General features: G+C 38.3%; 1 long non-coding RNA gene across 4 annotated transcripts in view; it reads right to left on the bottom strand.

The window, feature by feature from the left end:
• Positions 1 to 20,611, bottom strand: part of LOC105379301 (uncharacterized) — a 53,655-nt gene that overhangs the window by 11,444 nt on the left and 21,600 nt on the right. The window contains exon 3 of one of the 4 annotated variants that reach the window (NR_188135.1): positions 18,926 to 19,065. The exons of the other annotated variants lie outside the window; for them this stretch is intronic. This is a non-coding gene — a long non-coding RNA (uncharacterized LOC105379301). Of the gene's footprint in view, positions 1 to 18,925; positions 19,066 to 20,611 lie in introns of those variants that run through there. 4 annotated transcript variants of the gene reach the window in all.

Below are 20,611 nucleotides of genomic sequence, written 5' to 3'. Positions count from 1 at the left end.
TGTGTGTATGTATATGATTACAAAGTGCGTATATGCACAAAATTGTTCAAACTGCATATGTGGTTTTTTTTTTTTTTTTTTTTTTTTAGACAGAGTCTCACTATGTCACCCAGGCTGGAGTACAATGGCATGATCATAGCTCACTGAAGCCTCATCTTCTGGGGTCAAGCAGTCCTCCCACCTCAGCCTCTCAAGTAGCTGGGACTACAGGTATACACCACTATGCCTGCTAATTTTTTTCATTTTTTTTAGAATCCCTCACAAAGTGCTGGGATTATAGGCATAAGCCACCATGCCTGGCCCATGGAAACATTTTGGTTACAACAATAAATGTCCAACAATAAGTGCCTAACTGTAGGATATTGTTTAATTAGATTATGGTATGCCTGTACGATGGGATATTTTGAAGCTGTTGACAAGAAAAAGGTACATTGATATATATATATGAGCATGCATGCTATTATAAAATACTATTATTTTTAAGCATCTTAAGATATTTTAAGTGAACTAATCAGTTTTCTGACCTGTGCTGTCAACAGAATTTCTGATGATCAAATAATAAAACTCAGACAATGTTGGTTTTGTGCCATCAAAAAAAAAAAGAAAAAGAAAAATACGTAGTAGAATCCCATTTATGTAAAAATAAGATAGACATAAATATAAGTCTATATTAAGGCTTAGACAGTCTCTGGAAAATGGAAAAATAGCTATAACTGGATTAGGCTCAGGAGAGGGACTGGTGGGCTGGTAGAAATAGAGTGGTAGAAGAAAGAATTAGTTGGTTAAAATTAGTTTTCTTCTAAATGCATCTTTTAACATATGTCAAACATTAAAGACACAATAAATGCATTTAATATTCAGAAACCAAATTATCATTACTAAGTCACTGACTGCTGAAAATACACTTTTAAACTTGTTCCAAGTTTCCGTAAATAAGGATTCAAGTGCCCCAAAGCAACTTCATTGTTAATGTTTCTGTACTTCCATATTTTCTTTTTAGCATGATTTCAAGGAATTTAGGGGCATTTTCTTCCTAGATATTTCCTTTCTCAGTAATTCAGACAATCATTGATCTAATAATAAAAAGGAAGCTATTAGAGACTCTGTGTGCCAGATATTACTCATGCTTGATAAATTGCATGCCCAAGGGAATATAAAAAAAGCACATCAACAAAAATAGAATTTAATTCTCATTGATTAAAACAATATGCGCGAAAGAGTTCTTTTTATGGAAGAGGAGAAATAACAACGTATTTCAAGAAATCTAACCACTGAATGCAGGAGATTATGGCCCCCCCATAGGTTTCAACTATTCAATGAGCTTTTCTTGATTATTTATTTGTATCAGGCATCTTGTTGAGAATTACTCACAGAACAGTATGGTAACAGAATAAATAAGTTAAAATAACCATTACAGGCCAAGCACGGTGGCTCATGCGTGTAATCCCAACACTTTGGCAGGTCAAGGCAAGAGGATCACTTGAGGACAAGAGTTTGAGACCAGCCTGGGCAACATAGACTCCTTCACAAAAAATGTAAAAAGTTAGCAGGGCATGGTGCCACGTGCCTGTAGTCTCAGCTACTGAGGAGGCTGAGGCAGAAGGATTGCTTGAGCCTAGTAGTTTGAGGCTGTAGGGAGCTATGATTGTGCACTGCACTCCAGCCTGGGAGACAGAGTGAGACCTTATTTCAAAACGCAAATGCACACACACACACACAAAATATCATTGCAAATGCACTTCAATAAGTGGTAGAGGCCAACGAGAAAATGTATTTCAGCAAGCAAAGAAGAGGAAGAGGCCCTAAAAGGAGATTGTATAAACTGGCATAGAGACATGAAAGAATGAGGTATTTAGCAAGAATGCTGCAAATCCTAGGTGGGGAGGATACATATCTCAAACTGCCTATTTAACATCTCCAGGTGGATATCTAATAAGTAACTCACAGTCAATGTATACCAAATTGAGCTTCTTATTCCTCCATGCCCCACCCCTATAGGTGCCTCCCATGGCCTTCCTATTCTCAGTTCATGGCAAGTGCATCCTTCAGACCGAATGCTTGGGAGGCACTATTGACACTTGTCTATAGCGACAGCCAAGGTGTCAAGGTATCAGCAAATCCTTTTGGCTCCACTGATTAGATCCAGAACCCAGCATATCTCACCAGCTCAGAAGCTTCCACCATGGTCCAAGTCCCTCTCATCTCTTGTAGGGTTGCCCCACTTCAATCTGTCCTTGACATAGCAGATAGTGTGATCTGTTTGCATAGCAGATAGAGTGAGCCATTTATACTGCAAGACAGATCATGCAATTCTCTAACTCAAACCACCCCTCCGGTGGCCCTCATTCTACTCTTTGTAAAAACCGGTCCTCACTATGGCCAACAAGGCCCTGCCTGACCTGGCACTCCCCCTCCCTAATTCACCTTCCTCCCTCTACTCCTCTCTCTTGCCTACCTCTGCATCCACACTGGCCTAGCTTTTCCTCCAGCCTCCCCAACCGACTTGTTCCAGCACCTACAGTCTCTAGGCGATGATCCTTCCTGGAATGTGTCCCTCACCCTCCTCTGTAAAATGGCAGTCTCCCCCTTACACCCTATCCTCTTCTCTTTTATTTTTGTCATATCACATATCGCTATCAAATACATTCTATATTCTATGTGTTTATTTTGTTTATTATCTGTCACATATAACCCATCCCTGGAATATAAACTCTGGAAACGGAGGGATTTTTGTCTGTTTTGTTCACTGCTGCATCAGCAGAACCTAGAATAGCACTTGGAATATTGTAGGTGTTCAAGAAATATTTGTGAAATTTGTGAATGAATGAGAGAGGTCTGAATGGGGTCTGAAATGATAGAAGTTGAGGTTAAAGCGCTACACAAGGGCCCAGCTCCAGAAGGTGTCTTGGTAAGAACTTTGGACCTTATCAGACAATAGAAAACTGTGGGGAAAATATAGATATAATATACACACATACATATAATATAAAAATATACACACATCATAAATACAGCATGAGGTGGGGGGAGGCAGAAAACTGAAAAGTTAAAAAAATTATTTGTGGCCGGGCGAGGTGGTTCACACCTCTAATCCCAGCACTTTGGGAGGCCGAGGCGGGCGGATCATAAGGTCAGGAGATCGAGACCATCCTGGCTAACATGGTGAAATCCTGTCTCTACTGAAAATACAAAACATTAGCCAGGCATGGTGGCAGGTGCCTATAGTCCCAGCTACTCGGGAGGCTGAGGCAGGAGAATGGCGTGAACCCGGGATGTGGAGCTTGCAGTGAGCCGAGATCGTGCCACTGCACTCCAGCCTGGGTGACAGAGCAAGACTCCGTCTCAAAAAAAAAAAACAAAATTATTTACACTGTGAGGATGGAGAAAATGACACGAATTCCACAGACATTGTAGAGCAGCATTGATGCAGCTTAGTAGCTAAATTAATGAGGAAGGTGAAGGAGAACATTGACCCAAAAGTAAATCTGAGTTTCTAGCCTGGGTGTTTGGGCACGTATGGATGCCACTAAATGAAGTTAGAATGTTTTTGACCTCAGAGGAAGCTATAAAAGCCAATGGTGGTGTCTTCCAGGAGGAAAGGCAAACTGGCTGGCTTCCAGACATTATAATTGATCTTATGCTGTGAGTCCATTTTAAAATCTCGCACAAGTGGTGTCCCGCAGCAGATGGTGGACATGCTAGTTATGACCTATCATTCAGTTCCTTAAAGGTTCTGTCTGCATGATGCCAAGACATCTGGATGAAAATGAAGCACCCGGCACATCTTTTGTGTGTTTATGTGACACCATGCGTCTTGAGAGCGACGACATCTTTCGGTTTCTGTCAGGGCGTTTGATGTTTTAGAAATGTTGCCTTGGGCTCATTGATGAGGTTCCACTTACGAAACTTTAAAAATCACTACAAGTGTTAAGCATTTTAATATGGATTTAAATCTAAGCCTGGAAATATGGGGAGATAAAAATAAGCAATTCATACTTAGATTGGAGATACTTGGAACTTATTAGATAATACTGCAAAATTATAGGATAGAGTGCTTTAACATCACAGAGAAATTTAATGAACATAAAAGCAATTCATATACTGCTAAATAGAAGAGAGGAAGAGAAATAAATAACAGCTAAGTAGATGCTGACATAATACTTGCTAACGTTGTATAACATATTAGAGTAAGAATCACAATTATTCAGGCTGAGTTTGTTCTATAAAGGCACCCTAGGACATATGCTTTGAACACAGATAGACTTTACTTGAATACTAAATGTAAGAATATTCTTAGCTTCCTTAAAGAAATACGCTTCCTCTTTTTTATCCTGAGCCATGTGATTCTCTCAGTATAGCTTTCGTTTTCTAACTTTTGATAGAATCCTGAACCTAAGAAATGTTTCACTCTTCTCTTTGTCCCATCACAAGAAAAATTCCAGTGTAATAAAATGGAGAAGCAGGTCCAATGATCAGTGGCAGCTGTCTCTTGGTCCCCATCGCAGCTCATAGTCCTGCTGGTTGTGCTTCCAGGAATGTCAGTACAGGCCTACCAAGAGAAGCTGGAAATGCAGTTTTTCCTACAAAATCTCCCTTTTGAAAAGGTTAACAAGCAAGTACAACATGTTAAAGCTCTGTGTGGGCCAAGAATAGACACAAAAACTAAATACATCTGTGGGCTTCAGTCTAAGTTGGAACCTGTTTTTGAGTTCGTAAAACTTGAGCCTCAAGTCCGTTCTCTCGCTTGACTTCATAATGACCCAGTGACATAGTCAGTCTTATCATCTTCTCTTTCTAATATTGTAGTGATCTCAGAGAGAATGAAAGGCTTACTCGAATTTCATAAATCCAAGTCTTCTCCAATCTAAGCCTCCCAACCCAAATTTTGATCTAGAATTTGAACATAGATGCATCTGGTCACAAAGCCTACACACTACCTCAATTCTAGTGTCCACATTGGAAGCATTTTGCCATCAGGTAGTATTAGGAATCCAATTACTATGCAATGATTACATCCATACTCTAAAAATCATATTGAATGGGGATTGATAAGAGGGAAAGGGAATATAGGCAATGTTGCCTAGGTTTTTCTGTAATTTAAATAAAAGAGAAACAGATTTCATTAATTAAAATATAATAAGGAATCTCACTAGAACCTATTCTTCACTAGTAATTGTTACGGGTTGAATTGTGTCCCCCACAAAAGATGTTTTCAAGTCCTAGCCCCTAGTATGTGGCCTTATTGGAGATAGTGTGGTTGCAGATGCAATTAGTTAAGATGAGGTCATACTGGATTATGGCAGGACTTTCATCCAATATGTCTGCTGTGTGGTACATGAATTATTCCAATAATTGCATAAATGCCTTTAGTTAGGCATTGATTTCACCTTGAGAGAGTGACCTCAGAGTGTGAGTGGCCAGCCTTGTTGATAACTGCTTCCTGGAAGCTCACTCACCACTCCCAAGGTTACGCTTGGAGTACAGGACTTGGTCCCTATCCAAGGATGTCCTGTTTGGTGTTTGGCAGTCACTTGAGTTCAGTTTATAGCCTTGTAATGACAGGAACCAGTGACCTCATGAACTAGCTTGTTCTTCTTTAGTAACCCTACTTATTAGGAAGTTATTTGGTTGAGTAAGAATGTACCTCCTTATTAGTCATTATGATATCTTGCCCTCTGAAGCCACAAAGGCTGAGTTCATTGTCTCTTACATATGACAACTCATATATTAGTTGAAAATAGTTATGCATTTTCATTCATTTTCTCTTCTCGGGGACAAAGTCTTTCTGTATCTTTCCTCATTTCTTGTGCATCAGGGTTTCTGGTTTGTTACAATCCCTTTCAATGTGTAGGATCTGGAACTCAATCCTATTGCCAAATTTGATCAGTGACTCATAATGGACCATCAAATCTTTCTTGTTTTGAATACTATGGGAGAGTTTAAACAGTGTGTTAAGCACTAGGCTAGAGTTTTTGGCCATGAAAAAAAGAATGTACAAAGCTCACCTCTTACTTCCAAAGTGTGATGGACTTGCCTAGAGCCTCTGAAGGAATTGAATGTAAATCAAAAGTCTATCAGTGTATAGACCTTCAGTTCAGTCATTCTCAAAACACGGTTTGTAGACTTCTGTGGAATCTCCAAGATCCTCTCAGAGGATCCATAAGATCAGAACTATCTTCGTAATAATACTAAGACATTATTTGCCCTTTTTTGCTGTGTTTGTCATGGCACTAATGGTGCAAAAGCAATAATGGTGTCAAACTGCTGGCACATTGAACAATGACATGGCACCAAACTGTATTAGTTGTCATAGTATTCCTCGCTACCATGCACTTTTAATGAAGGAAATGCTAATTTTACTTAAGAACGTACTTGGCCAGGCCTGGTGGCTCATGCCTGTAATCCCAGTGCTTTGGGAGGCCGAAGTGGGTGAGTCACCTGAGATCAAAAGTTCAAGACCAGTCTGGCCAACATGGTGAAACCCTGTCTCTACTAAATGCAAAAAATAAATTAGCCAGGCATGGTGTCACATGCCTGTAATCCCAGCTACTTAGGAAGCTGAGCAGGAGAATCACTTGAACCCAGGAGGCAGAGATTGCACCATTACACTCCAGCCTGGGCAACGAGAGTGAAACTCCATCTCAAAAAATAAAATTTACTTAATAAAGCAATAATAATTATTAATTTTATTAAATCAACCCCTTGAGCACACATATCTTTACTATTCTGTGGGACAAAGGGGAAAATACACATAAAGTTCTGTTGCCAACCAAAAATGCACTTGATTGATTCTCAGGGAGAAGTACTTGTATGATTATTCAGGTTGCAAGGTAAACATGCCACTTCTTAAAATGGAACACTATTTTTACTTGAAACAAATGACTCACAAATTATGGTTATTTAGACTTGGATATTTCACAGATAGTTTCTCAAAAATGAGCAAAGTGAGTCAAGCAGATCACTTAGAGCACAACAATGGGCAATATTTGTTGCAAATAATAATATTTGAGGTTTCAAGTAAAAATTAGCATTTTAGGAAACTAATATCTGCCACCATGCGTTTGATAGTTTCCATACATGAAACTTTTCTGATGAGATCACCAGTGATGTTGACTAATAAGATTTTTCAATGTTATGTAATGAAATGTGTCAACATTTAGAATGTTTTTGTAATGTAGCAAACAAATATTTTCCAAATGGCAAATGATGAAACAAAATCACGAATGGATAAAACAGCCATTCAAGGTAGAAAATGTACTGAAGGGTTTGTTGTAAAGAGATTTAGAAAGTTTATTGATATGGTTTCAGATTTTACAAGTTGCTTTACAAAAGTACCACTTGTTCAGCTTTGGTATAAAATTAAAAAAGAATATTCCCAATTATCTGAAAAGGCTATTCATATGAGTGTGAGGCTCAGTTTTTAAAAAACACACCTTAGCGAAAACAGTGTGTTGTACATAACAGAATGCGTGCAGAAGCTGATATCAGAATTCAACTATGTTTCTATTAAGCCAGACACTAAAGAAATTCGCTAATATGAAAAACAATGCCTATCTTCTCAGTACATTTTTTGTTTTGTAAAATACAGTTATTCTTTATGAAATATGTTGCCTATGTTAACATATAATGGGTTCATTATTGCAGCTTTTAAATAAGCTAATATTGTAAAATTTTTTCAGTTTTAATTTCTTTTTTTTTTTTTTGAGATGGAGTTTTGCTCTTGTCGTCCAGGCTGGAATGCAATGGCATGGTCTCGGCTCACTGCAACCTCCACCTCCCAGGTTCAAACAATTCTCCTGCCTATGCCTTCCGAGTAGCTGAGATTACAGGCATCCGCTACCACGTCTGGCTAATTTTCGTAATTTTAGTAGAGATGAGGTTTCACCATGTTGGCCAGGCTGGTCTCAAACTCTTGACCTCAGGTGATTTGCCCACCTCGGCCTCCCAAAGTGCTGGAATTACAGGCATGAGCCACTATGCCTGGCCCGGTTTTAATTTCTAACACAGTAAATATTGGTAGTTATAATCTACATAAACAAGCTCTTTGGCACCCTCAATAATTTTTAAGAGTGTTAAGGGGTACTGAAACCAAAACACTTGAGAACTGCTCATTTTAGGTAACTGAGTTTGCTAGGAAACAGAGAATTTCAGGAATATCTGTAGTGCTTTGTCATTGGTAAGATTACATTTCTTTCTAATCAGTATGCATCTTTCAGTGAAATCAAATGGGTTTCTAATAAATGTTTATTGTAACTACTGTAAAATAATCACAGCTAACACCTAGTGAATATTGACTATGCATCAGTCTCTGTGCAGGACAGAGAGGATACTGCAGCATTCAGACACCATCCCTGCTTGGTGGAGCTTAGAGAAATGGAAAAGACAGACACTCAGTGAGAATCTACTGGGTGGGAGTATGAGTCAGCACTATCTTCAGGATGCTAGAAGGCATCCTAGTTCCTCCATGGTCCAAGGACTGACACTGGAAACCTGAGAAGAGGATGGGTTTAAGATATATTTGGTGGGATTTGGGGACACGACTTGTGATTAATTAGATACAAACATTAAGGAAAAGAGGAAGGATTAAAGGATTACTAAGCTTGGTGGCTTAAGTTCATTCCATCATCAATTCGACAAGTGTTTGTTCAGTACCTACTATGAGCCAGGTATTCTAAGTGTTGAGAGGAGAATGCCAAGCAAGAAAACTCATGTTAGTGAGATGGGCTGGTGAGAGGAGGGGGCAGATCATGAAACAATTGATCAATTGGTCAATAAATTGTTAAGGAATGACTGCCATTGCAAAGCATTAACATAGGCAGATGTAAGAGAGAAGGACGGGGAGGCCACTTTGGATTGGGTTAGGGAAGCTCGTCTGAGGAGATAACATTTAAATTTAATTTTGAACAACAAGAAGCAGCCAACCATGCAAAATAGGAAAAAGAATGTTCCCAGAAGAGGTACTAATTGATGAAACTATTTGAAGCAGAAATGGGCTTGGTGAGATGATAAATCAAGTTGCCATATTTAATGAATAAAAATCAAGGCACCCAGTTAATTTTGAATTTCAGAGAAGCAACATTTTTTAAAAATATAAGTATGTATGATGCACTATTTGGGACATGCTATACTAAGAAAAGAAAACTTTGTTGTTTATCTGAAATACAAATTTAACTAAGAATATGCAGAAAATTCCAAAGAACAAATAAAAGCTCTTAGAACTAATAAGTAATTACATCAAGAGTACAGGATACAAGGCTAATATACAAAAATTAGTTGCTTTTCTATATACTAGCAATGAGCAATTGGAACTTGAAATTTAAAACACATCACCATTTACATTAGCACCAAAAAAGGAAATACTTAGGCGTATGTAAATCTAACAAAATATGTACAAGATCTATATGAGGAAGGCAATAAAATTCTGATTAAACAAATAAAAAATATCTAAATAAATGGAGTGATAGTCCATGTTCCTGGATAGTAAGACTCAACGTTGTTAAGATATAATTTATTTCCCATATGTTCTACAGATTCAATGCAATCTCAATCGTAATCTCAGAAAGTTATTTTGAAAATATTGACAAACTAATTCTGAAGTTTATATGGAGAGGCAAAAGACCCAGAATAGCCAACTCAGTATTGAGGAAGAAAATCAAAGTTGGAGGACTGACATAGCCAAAATTGATTATAAAGCTACATTAATTAAGACAGTGTGGTTTTGGCAAATGAGTAGATTAATAGATCAATAGGACACAATGGAAAGCCCAGAAATAGACCCACATAAATACAGTTAACTGATCTTTGACAAACGAGCAAAGGCAATTCAATGAAAAGAGGATAGTTTTTCAACAAATATTGCTAAAATAATTGGGCATTCACATGCAAAAAGAAAAAACAAAAAACAAATCTAGACAAAGGCCTTGCACTCTTCATAAAAATTAACTCAAAATTGATCATAGGCCTAACTACAAAACCACAGAACCTAAACCATAAAACTATAAAACTTCTAGAAAATAACATATGAGAAAAACTAAGTAACCTTGCATTGGTGATTAAAACTAAAACTTCTTTTCTGTGAAAGATACTGTTAAGAGAATGAAAAGACAAGCCACATACTAGAAGAAAGTGTTTGTAAAACATATATCTAATAAAGAGCTTGTATCCAAAATATACAAAAAAGCCTTAAATTTAACAATAAGAAACCAAACCATTTAATTAAAAATGAGTAAATGATCTAAACAGCCACTCATTAAGGAAGATTTACAGATGGCAAATGGCATATGAAAAGATGCTCAATGTCATGTCATCAGGGAATTGCAAATTAAAACAAACTATATACCTATTAGAATGGTTAAAATCCAAAATACTGACAACAGCAAATGCTGGTGAGGATGTGTAGCAACAGGAACGCTCATTCATTGCTGGTGGGAATACAAAATGGTACAGCCACTTGGCAAGATATTTTGACAATTTTTTACAAAGCTGAACATAGTCTTACCATATGATCTGGCAATCACACTCTTTGCTATTTATCCAAATGAGTTGAAAACTTATGTCCATACGAAAACCTGCTGCTATGGTTTGAATGTTTGTTCCTTCCCAAACTCATGTTGAAATTTAATTGCCATTGTAACAGTATTAACAGGTGAGACCTTTAAGAGGTCATTAGGCCATGAGGGCTCTGCCTTCATGAATGGATTAATGTGGTTATTTTTGGAATGGGTTTGTTATTACAGAAGTGGGTTCTTTATAAAAGGATGAGTTTGCCCCCATTTGTCTCTCTGTCTCTTTCCCTCTCTTTGCCCTTCTGCCATCTGATCTCTTCCACCATATAATGATGCAGCAAGAAGTTCCCTGCAAGATACTGTCACCTTGATATTGGACTTCCCAGCCTCCAGAGCCATGAGCCAATAAACTTGTTTGTTATAAATTACCCAGTCTCAGGTGTTCTGTCACAGCAGCAAAAACAGACTAAGACACCTGCTCATGAATGTTTATAGCAGTTTTATTCATAATTGCCAAAACATGGAAGCAAAAAGATGTCCTTCGATAGGTGAATGGATAAACAAACTGTGGTTTGTTCATACAATGGAATATTATTCAACAACAAGAAATGAGCTGTCAAGCAAGCCACAAAAAGACATAGAGAAACCTTCAAAGCATATTGTTAAGCAAAAGAAGCCAGTTTGGAAAAGCTACATACTGTATGTTTCCAACTACAAGACATTCTGGAAAAGACAAAACTATAGAGACAGTAAAATGTTCAGTGGTTGCCAGGGATTGATGGAGAGTGGGAAGAGAGTTGAATGAGTAGTGTGGGGAATTTTTAGGGCAGTGAAACTATGCTGCATAAATACTGTAATCACCAAAGAAGATAAACAAACAGCTGATAAGCACATGTCATTACACATTTGCCAAAGCTCTTAGAATTGTACAACATAAAGAGTGAATCCTGATGTAAATTATGGACTTGAGTTAATAATATCGTGTCAATATTGGTTCATTGGTTGTAACAAATGTATCACACTAATGCCAAATGCTAACAATAAGAGAAGCTGTATATGGATTGGGGAGGGTAAATAGGAACTGTCTGTACTTTCTGCTCAGTTTTTCTGTAAACCAAATACTGCTGTAAAAATAAAAGTCAATTAACTGAAAAAAAATTTAACGGGAATCCTTATCTGACAACCCCAGGAACAGAGCGGCCAGTGTGGCTGTATCTAGTGGGTGAATGGAAAGTGGAGTGAGTTTAAAGAAGTCGAGACAGGCCACATTATAGGGACGTTGAAAGCCAGAGGAAGGTTTTTATTTCCTCCCATGTGTAATGAAATGCCTCTGAAAAGGTCAGTATTTTAAAAATTCTTTCTGGCTGCTGTAGGGAGGATAGATGGTTCCTACAGTGGAAGTCCAGAGATGTTTACAAGGTTATTGGTTCAGCCCAAGCAAAAGCTAATGTGAGCTAGTTGGTGGCAGAGGAGGTAGAAAGCAGTGGTCAGATCTCCGAAGTGAAGACAGAAGCTACAGTTTTATTTTGGAACTGTGGGTGGAGAGCTAGTAAAAGAGAAGAATCCAGCCAGGTGCAGTGGCTCAGGCCTGTAATCTCAGCACTTTGGGAGGCCTAGACGAATGGATCACCTGAGATCAGGAGTTCCAGACCAGCCTGGCCAACATGATGAAACTCTGTCTTCACAAAAAATACAAAAATGAGCCGGGCATGGTGGCGCCTGTAATCCCAGATACTCGGGAGGCTGAGGCAGGAGAATCACTTGAACCTGGAAGGTGGAGGTTGCATTGAGCTAAGACTGTGCCACTCCACTCCAGCCTGGGCAACAAGAGCAAAACTCTGTCTCCAAAAAAAAAAAAAAGAAAGAAAGAAAGAAAAGAAAAAGAAAAATCCAATACAGCAATGAAAGTTTTGCCTAAGCAATTGGGTGTCTTGTAGTACCATTAACAGATATAATAAATAATAAGTACCAAAAGTAAAGAGTTATTTTTGTCCTTGTTAAATTTGAGATGCCTATTAAACATCTAGGTGGAGATGTCAATTTTACTGAGCTAGGAAATGATATTACTGACTTATATAGCAAACAATGGCAAGGGAGCAGTTTGCACAGGGAAAATTATAAATTGGGTTTTCAACATGTTGAAATTGAGGTGCTTGTGAGAGACCTGAATGGATGTGTTGAGTGGGCAGTTGGGTATCTTAGTGTCTAAAACTACGAATTGAAGTCTGGCCTGGAGATAGATGGCATTTGGTAGTTGCTGGTACGTCAGCCACAGTTTGGAGCTATGGAGTTGAATGAAGTGACCTGTTGAGGAGTATATACGTTGTCATCATTTCTACACCAGAATGGCATGGAGCAGGGGTAAGCATTCTCTCAAGGCTGGCTATTTCTTACCCTAGGCTATAACCCAGGTCTTCTCTCCTTCAGATCCTCAAATTTTAAAAAAGATTTCACTGGGCACTCCCAATTTCTTCTGGAGGATGGAGATGGGGGCAGAGCACATGGTCCATACACTACGTCTATTTTTTTTTTTTTTAGACAGAGTCTGCCTCTGTCACCAGGCTGGAGTGCAGTGGCACGATCTGTGCTCAGTGTAACCTCCACCTCCCGGGTTCCAGCAATTCTCCTGCCTCAGCCTCCTGAGTAGCTGGGATTACAGGCGTGCACCACTACGCCCGGCTAATTTTGTATTTTTAGTAGAGACGGGGTTTCTCCATGTCGGTCAGGCTGATATCGAACTCCTGTCCTCAGGTGATCCACCCGCCTCAGCCTCCCAAGGTGCTGGGATTACAGGCGTGAGCCACCATGCCCAGCCACTACTTCTAATTGTATTCTTCCTCTTCCTTGTCTCTCTCTCCTCCAATCTTAGAACTATTTAACAAGTTAGAGGGGTGGGAAGGGCCCTGTTCTACATAGTCACCATCAGTTTGGGCCAGATCGTCACTGAAATAAAACTTAAAGCTTGCTTTATTTCTAGCAACTACTTTTTCTGGGGAAAGTGCTGCTCTGTGTCACATAGTCCAAGTCAGGTTAGAGTAGGAGACAGACAGAACAAGCTGGTTAAAACCAAAAATATAATTTCATGAATTTGTTTCTTACTGCAGGTCCTGTCTTCTCTATTCTGTACATGAATCTTTTCCGTTTTTTTAAATAGCAATCCAGTTTATGTATCAGTACACTGGCAGAATTTTATTTTTGAGAACCTTCCCATCATTCTTGAAATACTCTCTCCTTTAGTTTCTGAGAGGGAAGTTCTAAGGTAAAGATTCTCTAGGAATGAGATAATAATTGCAGGGAGGTAAAATTTGGTTTTGTAAAATCACTTATGCTTTTATAAAAATCTTAACCTGGACAATTATCTGGGATTAGTGCAGAGCTATTTATTTTCTAATTCCTTTCCTCACCAGAATTATTTAATGTCCATGTTTTGAAACTACTTTTAAATTGAAGTATAACATGAATACAGTAAGGCATCAAATCTTACAAAAGTTTCACATAATTCTATGAATTGGGCAATTCTTACAGGTTAATGAATTTTAAACAACTATGCAACTGTATACCCTAGAATTTAATATATATATATACATATGTATGTATATATATGTGTGTGTATATATATGTGTGTGTGTGTATATATATATGTGTGTGTGTATATATATGTGTGTGTATGTATATATATATATATATAGCCAGGCACAGTGGTGTGCACCTATAGTCTCAGCTACTTGGGAGGCTGAGCTGGGAGGATCATTTGAGCCCAGGAGTTCCAGGTCAGCCTGGACAACATAGTGAGACCCAATCTCTTAAAAAAATCTTTTGTTTTCTTTCCAGAATAGTAGAAATAAAACACGTCACAGAAAACATAGTTATGTTGCTTAATCTCTTTAGATGAGCATTTTTTAACTTTTTGGTGTAAGGACCCCTTTACACTCTAAAAACAAAAATTATTGAGAATCCCTAAGAGATTCTGGCTTTGTTTTTATGAGAGCTAGCAAGCTAGCTAGATATATGAGATATGTATGTATATTAGATGTAAATATGTTATAAATTAAGTCTGAGAATGTTGTGAAACATGAGAATACACAAGTACACATTCCATGAGCTGATAAAACAATGATGTCATGGAAAATTCTACTGCACACTTGTGATTAAAAACAGAAATAATGACAAGTGATGCTGTGTAGTTGAAATGCTCATACATTCTTCCTGGGATTTTAAAATGGTAGTGCTGTGGAAAACAGTTTGACATTTGCTCAAAAAGTGAAACTAGAGTTACCATGTGACCCAGCAATCCCACTTCTAGGTACATAGATGAGAGAATTGAAAATATATGTTCACACAGAAACTTGTACACAAATGTTCATAGCAGCATTAGTTCAAAATAGCCAAAAAAAAAAAAAAAAGAAACAATTCAAATGCCTATCAACTTGGGAATAGATAAATAAAATATGGTGTATGTATAAATGAAATACTATCCAGCCATAAATGGAATATTATTCATGTAGGAATGAAGTACTGATTCATGCTGCAACATAGATAAACTTTGAAAACGTTACCTAAGTGGAACAAAAGCAAGACACAAAAGACCAAGTATTGTATGATTCCTTTTATATGAAATATCCAGAATATGCAATCCACGTAGACAGAAAGTAAACTAGAGGCTTCCAGGGGATGGGGGAAGCAGGGAATGGAAAATGACTGCTCGCAGGTATAGAGGTTCTTTTCAGAATGGTGGAAATGTTCTGGAATCATATAGTGGTGATGATTGTACAACATTGCAAATTTACTAAAAACAACTAACCATACTAAAAACCACTTTAAAATGGTGAATTTCATGTTATATGAATTATATCCCAATTAAACATTACCACATAAAAAGGTATCCTCCAGAAATTATTATTTGGAGCTTTAGAGACAACTTTGTGATCCAGAAAAATAAATGGATAAAGGAGCCTGTACAGCTGATTTTTGTTGAGGAGAAATGCGCAGAGGATTCCTGTTGCCAGACTGAGTGGGCCTCCCAGATAAGCAGAGTCGAACTGAGTTCTTGGGTCACTGCGCTCCCCGGGCGACGGCTGACATGCTCCATGTTTGCAATTGCGATTGTTCAAGCTGAATGAACGCGATGTTGTTGTGGCAAAAGAAAACCCACAAGAAAGTATAGATAGGCCAGTCTAAGGGTGCCTGAGTTAGGGCAGAACTTTTCTCATATGTTCTTGTAAAGCTCAGGCACAAAGAAAACTAGCTAATAGAAAGAAGGAAACAGGCCGGGTGCGGTGGCTCACGCCTGTAATCCCAGCACTTTGGGAGGCTGAGGCAGGAGGACTGCTTAAGGCCAAGAGCTTGAGACCAGCCTGGCAACATGGCGAAACCCCCATCTCTACTAAAAATACAAAAATTAGCCAGGCGTGGTGGCCCACGTCTGTAATCCCAGCTACTCGGGAGGCTGAAACAAGAGAATCACTTGAACCCGGGAAGGCGGAGTTTACAGTGAGCCGAGATCACGCCACTGCACTCCAGCCTGGACAACAGAGTGAGACTGCGTCTCAAAAAAAAAAAAAAAAAAAAAAAAAAAAAAAAACAGAAAAGAAGAGAAAAAAAGAAAGAAACAAACAAAACCAAAACAACACTATTACAATAACAAAAAAAAAAGCACGTGGGTCTCATACATCATCAACAAATTATTTATGCATGGAGTGCCTTTTCTCTGGTCATTCATGGAGGTTTAGGATAGATGACCCAATTAAACCAGCCCTCATTTGAATTCACTCCCAAAAGAAGAACGTAATGGTAAGAGAATCAAGTTTAACGGCAAAAAGATGACATTTTCAAAAACATATGAGCCAATTAAAAGCTCATTATCCAGAAACCCATCTGATGGTGTCAGATGGTTTAAGTGTTAGGAGAAAATGTCTGATGAACCTTTCTTGAAGCTGCTCCCAGATCTACTGCTGGAGGAAGAACCCCGATTGAGACAGGGAAGCAGTGGCAAACTCAGGCTGCAGGTGGAAGCTCAAAGGGGAAAATGAGACAGACCTGTCACAGAGTCAAGGAACTTTCAGAAATATGGCTCTCCACACACCAAGCAATGGGATACAGTCATTGGCCATTGAAAGTGGAGCGGTAGCTTCAGGTGTCACCTTCTTTGGGGAACGTGGCATTTTCAAGGGACCCTGAGCATGAGGGAACCTCATCTGGATTTTCAAGTCATGACTCAGATGGTCCCATAGGGGCAGAAGGAATGAGGGTGTCCCAAACAGACTGGCATGTAGAAATTCTATGTGGTATGCAAGATTTGGGAAGTACATTACGGCTTGTGTATCATGTAAGCTGGCTATACTAGAGTGCTGAACTTATACTAGAGCAATAGTACTCAGAAGAAAATAGTAATTTGAAAGACATTTGAATATAATTACTGCATATTGTAAACTATATATAGAGTTACATATTTCACTCACTCTCAGGAGAAAAGAAATGGGATTTTTCTAAGAGACAAGAAATTATACATCCTTTTCATTAGTTTTCTCATGTGCTAGCTTTATGCAAAATGAAATTTAGGTACAAAGGGCAGTAAGCAGTAACAAATATGAAACACCCATCTGGAGTGGTATGTGAATAGTTACTAAGGAAAGGTTTCCAAGAAAGGAACCATAAATGCTTTCACCAAAGCCAGATAATTAGAAGTGTTAAAGAAACAGTGTAGGTTTTTTTTTTAAGTCCTAGTTATGGTAAATTACATCTAATTACATTTTTAATTGCCAATTTCTACCCAGATCCTTGAAATCTTTCAGGAAAATGAATTTAAACCATAATTCTTAGTAGGAAATTTGAGGATAAATAAACTTTTTAATACATTAGATTGTTGCACAGTTTCTCAAAATAAGTTATAATCTTAACATGAACACATATTTACACGCACTACTCTTTTCATAATTCATGGAATTCATTTTCTCTTTACAGTTATACTAAAAAGATTCTACATATCTTCTTTCTGTGTTAGTAGATTTAGAGAAGGTAAATCTAATTACTATAATTGTATATAGACTTGCAAAGACTGGCCCACATCATAGAGAGACAGCATGCATTATCCCAGAATATCTGAGACATATCTGGCAACCATTATAGCACCCACTGAGTTGTCTTCGAGTTAGGGCATGATTGTGTGAATACGCAAATAAAGCACAGAAGGGAAAAAGTAACCTTTGGGAAAGTGGCTCAGAGCAGCGTAAGTGAGTAGATGAAGGGCCCAGTTCCTTGCCTTGCCTCCCAAGCTGTGGCAGCCCACAGCAAGATTCCAACCCTGTATCTGAAACTCATGGGGTCAAGTGTATTTCAAACTCCCAGGGGTTTTGGACTTCACGAAGATGATTTAAGAGACTCTGCCCTCTTCTTCCTGCAGAGAGGGAAATCCCTTCCTAGGCTGTCGGTGGAAAATCCTCTCCAGCGTCTTCTTTGTCCTCTGTCGCCCCCACAACCCTTCACAATAGAGCATGGGCAAGAGACAGCAGCGCCAAACAGGAGGCCGCTACCTCTATGTGGTGCCCCCAACAGTGTGCCCTGTACGAGGTGGATTTGACGTTTAGTCAAATTAATAGATTCTTGTTAGGAACACACCCAAGAGAAGGAGTGTAATTACTGTGGGATTTGGTGAATCATGGTGAATATGTCAGTAACCAAGTAATTACCCTGGGGAATCTTTTCCTCTATCATCCACCTTTACCTAAATTATATGTTAGCATCTAAGTAGTCCTCCGTAATCTGATGATTTAAAATTGTTTAATTTCCTAGTGTATTTAAATGGGCGAGGTATCCCTGTCTTTTCTCCTTCTCTATTCTCTTTCTCATCCCACTGAACTTTGTGCCCCCAAATCAAGTTAAATGAACTTAAAAGTATGAACAAGGCCGGGCACAGTGGCTCACGCCTGTAAACCCAGCACTTTGGGAGGCCAAGGCGGGTGGATCACCTGAGGTCAGAAGTTCAAGATCAGCCTGGGCAACATGGTGAAACCCTGTCTATACTAAAATGCAAAAATTAGCCGGGCATGGTGGTGCATGCCTGTAATTCCAGCTACTTAGGAGGCTGAGGCAGGAGAATTGCTTGAGCCTGGGAGGCGGAAGTTGCAGTGAGCCGAGATAGCGCCACTACTCTCCTGCCTGCGTGACAGATATAGACTCCATCTCTTAAAAAAAAAGTATGAACAAATTCTGAAAAGCTTTATTTTGGGTACTGAAATAACTAACACCTTGTCTTAAGCATAGTAAACGTAGTCAAAATGAAGTAAGACCATCTTTTTGGCTATGGACCAATTTTTTAGGTAGGACTGGCAGAAATGACAGTTTGGGAACTGAATATGCCATTTTCTTTGTCCCCATACCCATGAAATGAAGGAAAATGATGACTGGTACTTAGTTGGAAGTACTAAGGGTGTATCAGAAAGGATTTACTGGGCGGGTGCAGTGGCTCATGCCTGTAATTCCAACACTTTGGGAGGCCAGGCAGGAAGATCGCTTGAAGGCAGGAGTTTGAGACCAGCCTGCACAACAGAGGGAGATCCTGTCTCTATATTAAAAAAAAAAAAAAAAAAAGAGAGAGGAAAAGAAAAGAAAAAGAAAGGTTTTACTAAGGCTGTGTGGACCAGTGCCATTCTATAGAAATATAATGTGAGTCATATTTATCATTTAAAAGTTTTTAACAGCTACATTTACAAAAGTAAAAAGAAACAAGTAAAATTAATTTTAATAATATATTTTAAACCAATATATCCAAAACATTAAGATCCCAAAATATAATTAATGTAAAAATTAATATTTTACATATTCATTTTTTATACAAAGACTTCGAAATCTAATGTGTATTTTACACTTAGAGATAATCTCAATTTGTACTAGGCCCATTCCATGTGCTCAATAGCTACGTATAGCTATTAGCTACCTTATTGGAAGGTTCATGAAATGTGAATGTTTAGAAAGCAGAGCTGGTGCCCAAATCCTCAGCAATCTGTGATTCTTCTGGAAAAAGAATGGCCTCTACTTTGAAATTTCTTTCATATTTACTCTACTATATATTATAAACTGAAATAAAGACCATCCGTTAGTAAAAATAATTTTATTTTTAGTACTTCCTGTAAATCAGTAAAATACACTAGATTTGTGCTGAGAATTGTACATCATTCCTTAGTTAAATAGGAGTCACAATTTGAATCCAAAATTTGAGGAAACTAAAAACAGACACATAGACCAATAGAACACAATAGAGAACCAAGAAACAAATCCACACACCTACAATGAACTCAGTTTTGACAGATGCCAAGAACATGCACTGGGGAAAAGACAGTCTGTTCAATAAATGATGCTGGGAAAGCTGGATATCCATGTGCAAAAGAATGAAACTAGACCCCTAGGTCTCACCATATACAAAAATCAAATCAAAATGGATTAAAGATGTAAATCTAAGACCTCAAACTATGAAACTACTACAACAAACCATCAGGAAACATCTCCAGGTCATTGGTCTGGACAAAGACTTCTTGAGCAATACTCCACAAGCACAAGGAACCAAGGCAAGTGGGATCACATCAAGTATCCAGCAAAGGATACAGTTAACAAAGTGAAGAGACAACCCACAGAATGGGAGAAAATGTTTGCAAACTACCCATCTGACAAGGAATTAATAACCAGAATACATACAGAGCTCAAACAACGCTATAGGAAAAAATCTAATAATTCAATTTACAAATGGGCAAAAGATAATGAATAGACATTTCTCAAAATTAGAAATACAAATGGCAAACAGGCATATGAAATGGTGCTCAACATCACTGAGATCATCAGAGAAATGCAAATCAAAACTACAGTGAGATATCATCTCATCCCAGTTAAAATGGCTTACTATAAAAGACAGGCAATAAGAAATGCTGACAAGAATGTGGAAAAAAGGGAACCTTGTACACTGTAAGTGGGAATGTAAATTAGTACAGCCACTATGGAGAGCAGTTTGGAGTTTCCTCAAAAAACTAAAAATTGAGCTTCCATATGGTCCAGCAACCCCACTGCTGGGTATATACCCAAAAGAAAGGAAATCGGTATATAGAAGAGATGTCTGCACT

The sequence above is a fragment of the Homo sapiens genome, chromosome 8 (assembly GCF_000001405.40).
Source record: "Homo sapiens chromosome 8, GRCh38.p14 Primary Assembly".
Taxonomy (NCBI): domain Eukaryota; kingdom Metazoa; phylum Chordata; class Mammalia; order Primates; family Hominidae; genus Homo; species Homo sapiens.
This window is presented reverse-complemented; position numbering and strand designations above follow the sequence as displayed.